We start from the raw sequence: 9,833 nt of genomic DNA on the forward strand, positions 1-9,833 counted from the left end.
TGTTTAAAATATTTTGTTGTTGTTGTTGTTACACAGTCTCACTATGTCACCCAGGCTGGATGCAGTGGTGCAATCACAGCTCACTGGCGCCTCGACTTCCCAGGCTCAGGTGATCCTCCCACCTCAGCCTCCCTAGTAGCTGGGACCACAGGTGCTCACCACTGTATCTGGATAATTTTTTTGTAGGGTTTTGTAGAGACGGGGTCTTGCTATGTTACCCAGGCTGGTCTTGAACTCCTGGGCTCAAGAGATCCACCTGCTTCGGCCTCCCAAAGTGCTGGGATTACAGGAGTGGCCCCATGACACCTAGCCTAAAAAATTACTAAACATCAAAAAGATACATAAACCAATGGCACAGTTACCTCCCTGGACATGAATGGAATGCTTTTGGGGACAGGGGGACAAGATTTTTTTTTATTATTTCTTTTCTTTTTGAGACAGGGTCGGGCTCTATCACCCAGGTTGGAGTGCAGTGGCATGAATATGGCTTACTGTAGCCTCAACCTTCTGGGCTCAAGCGATCCTCCCACCTCAGCCTCCTGAGTAGCTGGGACTACCGGTACACACCACCATGCTCAGCTAATTTTTAAACTTTTTCTAGAGATAATGTCTCATTATGTTGCCCAGGCTGGTCTCAAACTGCTGGCTTCAAGTGTTCCTCCCACCTCAGCTTCCTAAAAAGTCCAGGGATTACAGGTGTGAGCCACTGCACCCCACCACAAGATTTTGCAGAAGGACTTCTGTGTTTTTTTTTTCCTTTCTACACTTTTGTAATTTTTCTTTTTGCAATGAGAATGCATTACCCGTCACTATTTAATTAAAAACTGTAAATACCATGCAGCTGCAAAATATCAACCAGGCCACCCCAAGAAGTATTCTTTTTTTGTTTGAGACAGAGAGAGGATCTCACTGTTGCCCAGGCTGGAGTGCAGTGGTACAATCACAGCTCACTGCAGCCTTGCCCTTCCAGCCTCAAGAGGTCCTCCCATCTCAGCCTCCCAAGTAGCTGGGACTACAGACACATGCCACCATGCCCAGCTAATTTTTGTTTTATTGTTAGTGGAGACAGGGTCTTGCTGTGTTGTCCAGGCTGATCTGAAACTCCTGGACACATGTAATCCTCCCACCTCAGCCTCCCAGAGTGCTGGGATTGCAGGCATGAGCCACTGCACCTGGCCAAAAATATTCTTTTTTTTTTTTTTTTTTGAGATGGAGTTTCGCTCTGTCACCCAGGCTAGAGTGCAGTGGCGCAATCTCGGCTCACTGCAACCTCCACCTCCCAGGTTCAAGCGATTCTCCTGCCTCAGCCTCCCAACTAGCTGGGATTACAGGCATGCGCCACCACGCCTGGCTAATTTTGTATTTTTTCAGTAAAGATGGGGTTTCACCATGTTGGTCAGGCTGGTCTCGAACTCCTGACCTCAAGTGATCCACCCACCTCGGCCTCCCAAAGTGCTTGGGATTACAGGCGTGAGCCACCACACCTGGCCCAGAAGTATTCTTAACAGAAATTAACACAAGAGAGGCCTGAGAGAAAAAAAAAAAATCTCATTATATACACCAGTTATATTTTGGGTTCTAGATACAGGGTTGAGAGCATGAAATCCTCATTCAATGCCAATATAGCTGTTTAAATAAATACACATGGCTAAGTAGGCAACATCACGGTGATTTTTCTCATCCTTGGAATCCGTATATTCAGTGCAGCAAATGACACACGTTTCTTTAACATCTCTTGCGGTGTAAAGAGAAAGACATAGCGTTTCATTTCACTCACTTCATTCGAGTTGTACCAGGGACTGCACAAGCTATTAGGCATGCTATCATGAATGAAACCTCAAGGCGTCTGTTCCAGATCAGAGGTCAGCAAACGCTGTTCTGTAAAGGGCCAAAGTGTAAATATTTTGGCCATGGAATTCCTGTTTTAACTACTCAACCTGCCGTGTCGGGGCATTTTTGCGCAGTCATAGATGATGAGTAGACAAATGAGTGTGGTTGCATGCCAATAAAACTGCATTTACAAAAACCGTGGGATTTGGCCTGAGGGCCATAGTTTGCTGACCCCTGTTCAGATGAAGAAGTCGGAATCTATGTAAATTTCTTAGCTGGGCGCAATGGTTCCTCATGCCTATAATCCCAGCACTTGGGAGGCCCAGGAGGGAAGACTGCTTGAACTAGGAGTTCAAGACCAGCCTAGGCAACATAGCAAGACCCTGTTTCTACAAAAAAAAAAAAAAAGTTTTAATTAGCCAGGCATGGTGGTGACTGTCTGTGAGCCCAGGTACCCAGGAGGCGGAGGCAAGCAGGTTGCTTGAGGCCAGGAATTCAAGACCAGCATGGGCAACATAGCTAGACTCTGTCTCTACAAATAAATTTTAAAAATTAGCTAGTCATGGTGGTGCCTGCCTGTGATCCTAGTTTCTCAGAAGGCCAAGGCAGGAGGCTCACTTGAGGCCAGGAAATCAAGACCAGCCTGGGCAACATAGTGAGACTCTGTCTCTACAAACAAATTTTTCAATTAGCTGGGCATGGTGGCACCTGCCTGTGATTCCAGCTACTTGGGGAACCTAGGTGGGAGGACTGCTCCAGGCCATGACTTGGAGGCTGCAGTAAGCTAGGACTAAACCTCTGCACTCCAGCCTGGGTGACAGAGCAAAATCCTGTCTCTAAAAAGAAATAAAAATTGGAAAAAAAAAAAAAAAAAAAAAGGGCCGGACACGGTGGCTCATGCCCGTAATCCCAGCACTCTGGGAGGCTGAGGTAGGTGGATCTCTTGAGGTCAGGAGTTTGGGACCAGCCTGGCCAATGGGGTGAAACTCTGTCTCTACTAAAAGTACAAAAACTAGCCAGGCGGGGTGGCACATGCCTGTAATTCCAGCTACTGGAGAGGCTGAGGCAGGACCATTGCTTGAACCCAGGAGACGGAGGTTGTAGTGAGCCAAGATCATGCCATTGCACACCAGCCCGGGTGAAGAAGTGAAAAAAAAAAAAAAAAAAAAGTGAGCTGAGAGAAGATTAAAGGAAACACTGACCCTCTGGGAAGAGAGAGCCAACATCTTAGCCCAGGTAGAAGGAGAAGAGAACAGTAAAACAGAAGAACTTAGGCACAGGTGAGACGGGAGACACAGCCTTCCAGGAGGGGGGACTGGCAATGTCAAACCCAGAGGGGTCAAGTGAGGTGAGGCTGCAGGAGACGCAACTGGGAGATGAGAGATTAACTTCGAGAGCCATCGGTAAAGCAGCGGAGATGCAAGCCAGATGCTGGGGGCAGAACAGTGAGAAAAGAGTGAGATGGAAAGGGCAGGGAGGACTGGCCTGGGGAAGCTGGACAGGGTGGAGGCTGGAGGTCAGTGGTAGGTAATGGGGATTGGGGGGTACTGGGTGTTTAGAGGCTGAAAAAGCACGTGGGTAAATGAAGATTCTTTTTTCTTTTCTTTTTTTTTTTTTTTTTTGAGACAGAGTCTCTCTCTGTTGCCCAGGCTAGAATGCAATGGTGTGATCTCGGCTCACTGCAAGCTCTGCCTCCCAGGTTCAAGCGATTCTCCTGCCTCAGCCTCCCAAGTAGCTAGGATTACAAGGACCCGCCACCACACCTGGCTAATTTTTGCATTTTTAGTAGAGATGGGGTTTCACCATGTTGGCCAGGGTGGTCTCAAACTCCTGACCTCAGGGGATCCGCCCACCTCAGCCTCCCAAGGTGTTGGGATTACAGGCGTGAGCCACTGCACCCGGCCGAGGATTATTGAACAAAGAGAGGAGAAAGAGCAAGAGCCCAGATGGGTAAATGTCTCAGACAGGGAAAAGGTTAACTCCTGCAGAGACGTGCCTGGCAATGTCTGGAGACATTAGTGGTTGTCATGCCTGGGGGGAAGGGGATCCTCCCAGGACCACATGGGTGGAGACCATGGTTCCAGCTCAACACTCTACATACAGGACAGCCCCCACCACCAGGAATGATCCAGCCCCAAATGTCAGCAGTGCCAAGATTGAGAGTTCTGCTTAAACCAAAGAGGAATGGAAGTCAAGGGTAGAGTGGGGTGAGGTGGGGAGCCCTGGGGACTCAGCCCACACCCTGTGGTCTCTATGCATGAATGGGGAAGGGCAAGAAGCAGGTCTCCAGGAGAGAAGCAAAGAATAAGAATAACTGCAGAGGCCAGACACCGTGGCTCATGCCTGTGATCCCAGCACTTCGGGAGGCCAAGGCAGGCAGATCGCTTGAGGCCAGGAGTTTGAGACCAGCCTGGACAAAATAGCAAGACTTCAGCTCTACACATTAAAGTAAAAATTAGCCAGGCAGGGTGGCGTGTGCCTGTGGTCCCAGCTACTACGGAGGCTAAAATAGGAGGATGGCTTGCGTCCAGGAGGTCGAGGCTGCAGTGAGCCATCATTGCCCAACTGCACTCCAGCCTAAGCAACAGAGCAAGACCTCATCTCAAAAAATAATAGATAGCTAGAGAGATAGATACAAAAATCACACTGATTTTCCTCCACCCTTCATCCCAATCAAAATGCCATATTGGGCCCGGAGTGATGGCTCACACCTATAATCCCAGGTCTTTGGAAGGCCGAGGCAGGCAGATCACTTGAGGTCAGAAGTTTGAGACCAGCCTAACCAATATGGCGAAATCCCATCTCTACTAAAAATACAAAAATTAGCCAAGGGTGGTGATACACGACTGTAATCCCAGCTACTCAGGAGGCTGAGGCAGGAGATGCACTTGAACCTGAAAGGCGGAGGTCGCAAAGATCGTGTCACTGCACTCCAGCCCGGGTGACAGAGTGACACCCTGTCTCAAAAAAAAAAAAGAAAAAAAAAAAGGCCAGGTACGGTGGCTCACTCCTGTAATCCCAACACTTTGGGAGGCCGAGGCGGGTGGATCACAAGATCAGGAGGTCGAGACCATCCTGGCTAACACAGCAAAGCCCTGTCTCTACTAAAAATACAAAAAATAAGCCGGTGTTGTGGAACACGCCTGTAATCCCAGCTACTGGGGAGGCTGAGGCAGGAGAATCCCTTGAACCTGGGAGGTGGAGGTTGCAGTGAGCTGAGATCGTGCCACTGCACTCCAGCCTGGGTGACAGAGCAAGACTCCGTCTCAAAAAAAAAAAAGCCATATTGGTTGACATTAGAGATTAATGATCTGAAAAGTTCTTTGCCCCTCCCCAAGCCTTCAAGAGGCATCACAGCCCATTTATTTGACAGGATTTTGTTCACCATCACCCCAATCGTGGGGGGTACGGAGGCTCGGACTCAAAAGAACAAAGATTTGTTAAGAAACCATTGCTCTGCAGCCACACTAGCTAGATTGCAATCCCAGCCCTGCTGCCTGCTGGCCTCAAGCGAAGTTTTCTCACTTGTGAAAAGGGAAGATTAAACCGCACCTCGTGGGGTTTTGCCGTGAGGATTAACTGAGATTATATATGCAAAGCGCATAGAACAGCACCTGCTGAGAGCTTGCTCTTCTAATTCTTAGGAAGGTATTATGCAGAGAATAAGGAACTCCTTAAGATGATAAAGGAGCCCAGTACACCCAGGAACTCCACCACTTGTGCCCCACTGCAGAACAAATATTTACTGAACACCTACTATGTGCCAGGCATCGTTCTGGGCTCTAGAAATGCAACGGTGAACAACAACAAACCATAAACCCCTGCCCATATGGAAGCCATAAATGTGCAAAGAAATGGTAAATCCATTTACTGACCCTGAAAGCCCAGGCACAGATCCACAATTAATTACCAAAGCTACAAGGAACAGAAGAACAGGGAACCACACACACGCACACATAGAATCTGGCATAGTTCGAAACCACTCATCTTGGATTTTCTTTTTATTTATTTATTTATTTTTGAGACAGAGTCTCGCTCTGTCGCCCAGTGGCACGATCTTGGCTCACTGCAAGCTCCGCCTCCCGGGTTTACGCCATTCTCCTGCCTCAGCCTCCGGAATAGCTGGGACTACAGGCGCCCGCCACCACGCCCGGCTAATTTTTTCTATTTTTCAGTAGAGACAGGGTTTTACCGTGTTAGCCAGGATGGTCGTGATCTCCTGAACTGGTGATCCACCCGCCTCGGCCTCCCAAAGTGCTGGGATTACAAGCGTGAGCCACCACGCCCCGCCTTTTTTTTTATTTTTTTGAGACAAAGTCTCGCTCTTTGGCCAGGCTGGAGTGCAGTGGTGCCATCTGAGCTCACAGCAACCTCCTCCTCCCGGGTTCAAGCAATTGTCCCGCCTCAGCCTCCCAAGTAGCTGGGACTACAGGCGAACGCCACCAAACCCAGGTAATTTTTGTATTTTGAGCAGAGAAGGGAGTTTCACCATGTTGGCCAGGATGGTCTCCATCTCCTGACCTCGTGATCCGCCCGCCTCAGCCTCCCAAAATGCTGAGATTACAGGCTTGAGCCACCGCAGCTGGCCAGATTTTCTTAACAAGAACTCCAACTAACCGCCACCCTTCATTGAGCACCTACTGTCTCCCAGGCACCTGGGGGCGGGGCTGGGGGGGGGTGGGCCCGGGGCTTTTAGACATTATGTGATTGACAGAGTCGACTCAGCAAACCCGGTTGGTCCACTCTAGCACCTGATTTTACATGCACCCGTTTCCCCATCAATACATTTAAGAGCTTCAATTCCTTCCCTCCCTGACCCCTTCCTCATCACGACTGATTTCCTTTTATGGAGAAATCTGAAACAGTAACCCAACAGATATTTTTAAAGCAGGGCCTCAGACCCCACAGTGGGAAACCCAGGCTATATTCCTTAAATGATTGCGCCATCTTCATCTTACAACCCCAAAGGTGCCTATTGTCAAGCCCAAGGAAGATGCTGCCCACACGTGGGAGAGGGGCCCATGGGGTCAGGGGGAACGAAAGGCTCACTCAAGGTCAAAGGCTCCTTCATGAAGCGCAGGGCTGAGGGGAGAGGAGGGGTCAAGGAGACAGCAGACAAGGGACAGTAGTCCAGATTCTTGGGCAGAACGGGACACACAGAGGCTCAAGTCCTGGCTCTGGCACTGACTTTAGGGCAAGGGAGTTATGCGTCCTACATGAGCCTCAGTTTACTCCTCTGTGAAATGGGTGCATAACTGTATCTGCCTCCGGGGGCCACTGTGACAGTCCAGAGAGATAAGATAGACTAGGCTGTGGCGTGCGGTGATACCAATTACAATAAATAGGGTAAAAAACCGCCACTACTTCTGCTACAATTGCTGCTGTTGCTAAGGCTTTAGAATTTGCCTCCGGACATCTGGAAACAGAACCCAAAAGGGTAAACATGGACCTAGAGTCCGGGGTGGCCACGGGCCTAGATCCAAGGTAGTTGGGTAGAGGGGGGCTCTGCAGTCCCTGACCCCAGGCAGCGTCACCCACCGGTGAGGCACTCAGGGCGCTTGGCTCTACCTACACCATATGCGCTCGGGGGACTTGGCTGTTCGGGGCTGTCCAGACCCAGTGACCCCACTTCCCGGCCGCGACCCAAAGATGACGCGTGTCGTGTCTCCGGAGCGACTTGGGCTCGGAGGGGCCGGGGCACGGGTCGGAGGCGCGCTCCAGAGAGGAGCCCGCGGCGGGGCGGGCACCGGGGCAAGGTTCCTCGGGCTCAGGTCGGGCACGCAGGGCGCGGAGGCGCGAGCCCGGGCGGGCAAAGGCCAAGGTCAGAGGCTTCCCGCTCCCCCTACGCGATGCAGGAGCTACCGTCCTGGCCACCGCCCCCCGCCCCTGGGGAGGGTTCTCAGTCCACAAGCGGGGGCTCGATTTTGGCTTGGGTGGGGTCCTCTCCCCATCGCGGCGCTCCCCGCCCACGCCCGCGCCCCCAGACTCACCCTCTCCGGGGTACAGGTGGCCCGCGGCGCCCAGTAGCAGCGCGGCCACCGCCACCAGCAGCGGCGCGGCCGCCGCCCCCCGCCGGCCCCCGGTGGCCATGGCTGCGGGAGCGCGGGGTCTCCTCGGATCAGAGCGCGCGGCGCTGGCCCGCGGGGGTCATGCTCCGAGGCGGCCACCCAAGAGGCGCTGGGGGCCGCGCGTCCTTCTCTTCCACGCCCGCGACCCGCGGGCCGCAGCCCCCCTGCCGGGGAGGGCCCAGAGGCAGCCCCGGGAAGGGCGCGCGCGGCTTCGCCAGCTACAAATACTGAGCGGAGGCCCTTGCGGTGGTGGCCCCGACCCCCCGGCCGCTGCGGCCCGGGCCCCGTCCCAGGATCTCGGGGCCCGGAGCTCCGCGCTGCGCCCGGGACTGTCTCTCGGCTCTCGGCCCCGCGCGCTCTGGGTCGCGATCTGCGGGCTCCGGGACAGAGGGACGCGCGGACCGACGGACTAGCTGACTGGCGGGCGGGCACCTGGGCTGGCGGGTGGCGGGCGGGCGGCGGGAGAGAGGGCTGCTCGGGCCCGTAAACAACGCGGCCCGTCAGCTGGGCCCCGTGCGGGCCGCGGGAAAAGGCGGCGCGGATCTGGCCTAGGAAGGGACTCTGCGCCCGGGAGAGGCCCAGGAGAGGGAGGGAAAGCTTGCAGGGGAGGGAGGTGCCGCCCGGCCCCGCCCCGCCCCGCCCGCCTCCCCGCCTCCCTGTGCCGGGCCCCGCGCGGGAGGCCCTGGGCGCGCCGGGACCGAGGGCGCGCCCCAGATCCGCGCGCCCTACAGCCCCGAGTCTCCTCCAGTTTCAGACCCCCGGAGGCGCCCCACAGGCCCGACGCAGCGGCACAGATCCTTTCTCTACCATTTTGCTATTTTGTTCATAGTGGGCTTTGGAGGATTCCTGTTGATTTTTTAAAAAATACTGCATTAAAATGTTTATTTTGGTGACTCGAGGTGGTTTTGGTTTCTTTCTTTTTTTTTTTTTTTCACTCCCTTAAATTTTGCACCCCAGGCGAGTAGTGTCTCACTCGCCTTTCCTCAGTCCGGGCCTGGCCAGCGACACTCGTCCCAGAGCGCGTGGGCGCCCCCAGATGTCCCGCCCGCGAGTGCGCCCCGGCCCAGGGGCGAGACCCAAGCCAGGCCCCTGGGGACAGCCACGTGCCCGCGTGCCCAGTGCGCTCCCTGTGTTCAAGTTGGAGAAATGACACCTGGAAAAATGTGCAGACGCTTCTGAAAGGGCAAAGACGACGCCAAAGAAGACGCCGGAGACCTCGAATAGGGCGCAGGTGGACATCTCTGATTTTCAGCAGACCAGCCTGTATGTGTCTGAAGTCTAGCAACGACATTCACCAACAAGGCGGGACAGCGGTTCCACCTACCTTACTGCAGGAGAGGAAGGGGCTTTCAGTATAGGAAAGCCAGAACTCAATGGGAGGAGGGTTCCTCCACCCCTCACTCCTGTGTGGTCTTGGACCAGGGACTTTTCTGTCTCTGGGCCAGTTTCACTTGTGTAATGGGTTTAATAATACCTGCATGCCAGTTCTGGGGAGGTACCCGGGAAAGAAAACTTAAGAAAGCGCCCAGCACAACCCTAGACCCAAGGCATTCATTCTTCTTTCATTCAATAAACAGTTTGCTAGGAGCTGGACCCACTGTTCATGCAACAGGCCAAACCTATTCCTGCCTCTGGGCCTTTGCCCCAGCATTTCCCTTGCCCGTAACACTCCAGGATGGCTTCATCTCTGAAGTGCCATCCCTAACCATATTTTTGCAAATCCTCCCCCCAGTTCCGTTTCCTTCTCTCTCTCTCTCTCTCTGTTTTTTTTTTTTTTTTTTTTTTTTTTTTTTTTTTTTTTTTTTTAGATGGAGTTTTTCTCTGTTGCCCAGGCTGGAGTGCAATGGCCAGATCTCAGTTCACTGCAACATCACCTGCCTGGGTTCAAGTGATTCTCCTGCCTCAACCTCCCAAGTAACTTGGATTACAGGCATG

General features: G+C 53.1%; 1 protein-coding gene across 4 annotated transcripts in view, besides 7 other annotated features; it reads right to left on the reverse strand.

Annotated features, from left to right (window-relative positions):
• Positions 1–8,443, reverse strand: part of INSR (insulin receptor) — a 182,150-nt gene extending 173,707 nt beyond the window's left edge. For all 4 annotated transcript variants that reach the window (XM_011527989.4, NM_001079817.3, XM_011527988.3 and 1 more), the window contains exon 1: positions 7,821–8,443. In XM_011527989.4, the coding sequence (XP_011526291.2) occupies positions 7,821–7,920 (100 nt within the window). In that variant the 5' untranslated portion in view covers positions 7,921–8,443. The remainder of the gene's footprint in view (positions 1–7,820) is intronic.
• Positions 2,481–2,982: an enhancer, noted in NCBI's record as "H3K4me1 hESC enhancer chr19:7288463-7288964 (GRCh37/hg19 assembly coordinates)". NCBI's record gives its function as "activates a minimal SCP1, AML or CMV promoter by ChIP-STARR-seq in naive H9 embryonic stem cells {active_cell/tissue: H9 hESC(naive)}" and the evidence as "EXISTENCE:reporter gene assay evidence [ECO:0000049][PMID:30033119]".
• Positions 6,885–7,643: an enhancer, noted in NCBI's record as "H3K27ac-H3K4me1 hESC enhancer chr19:7292867-7293625 (GRCh37/hg19 assembly coordinates)". NCBI's record gives its function as "activates a minimal SCP1, AML or CMV promoter by ChIP-STARR-seq in naive H9 embryonic stem cells {active_cell/tissue: H9 hESC(naive)}" and the evidence as "EXISTENCE:reporter gene assay evidence [ECO:0000049][PMID:30033119]".
• Positions 7,625–7,684: a silencer, noted in NCBI's record as "silent region_9973". NCBI's record gives its function as "represses an Ori minimal core promoter by ATAC-STARR-seq in GM12878 lymphoblastoid cells {active_cell/tissue: GM12878}" and the evidence as "EXISTENCE:reporter gene assay evidence [ECO:0000049][PMID:35858748]".
• Positions 7,735–7,874: a silencer, noted in NCBI's record as "silent region_9974". NCBI's record gives its function as "represses an Ori minimal core promoter by ATAC-STARR-seq in GM12878 lymphoblastoid cells {active_cell/tissue: GM12878}" and the evidence as "EXISTENCE:reporter gene assay evidence [ECO:0000049][PMID:35858748]".
• Positions 8,015–8,294: a silencer, noted in NCBI's record as "silent region_9975". NCBI's record gives its function as "represses an Ori minimal core promoter by ATAC-STARR-seq in GM12878 lymphoblastoid cells {active_cell/tissue: GM12878}" and the evidence as "EXISTENCE:reporter gene assay evidence [ECO:0000049][PMID:35858748]".
• Positions 8,315–8,704: a silencer, noted in NCBI's record as "silent region_9976". NCBI's record gives its function as "represses an Ori minimal core promoter by ATAC-STARR-seq in GM12878 lymphoblastoid cells {active_cell/tissue: GM12878}" and the evidence as "EXISTENCE:reporter gene assay evidence [ECO:0000049][PMID:35858748]".
• Positions 8,845–9,024: a silencer, noted in NCBI's record as "silent region_9977". NCBI's record gives its function as "represses an Ori minimal core promoter by ATAC-STARR-seq in GM12878 lymphoblastoid cells {active_cell/tissue: GM12878}" and the evidence as "EXISTENCE:reporter gene assay evidence [ECO:0000049][PMID:35858748]".

The sequence above is a fragment of the Homo sapiens genome, chromosome 19, assembly GCF_000001405.40.
Source record: "Homo sapiens chromosome 19, GRCh38.p14 Primary Assembly".
In the NCBI taxonomy this organism is placed as follows: Eukaryota; Metazoa; Chordata; class Mammalia; order Primates; family Hominidae; genus Homo; species Homo sapiens.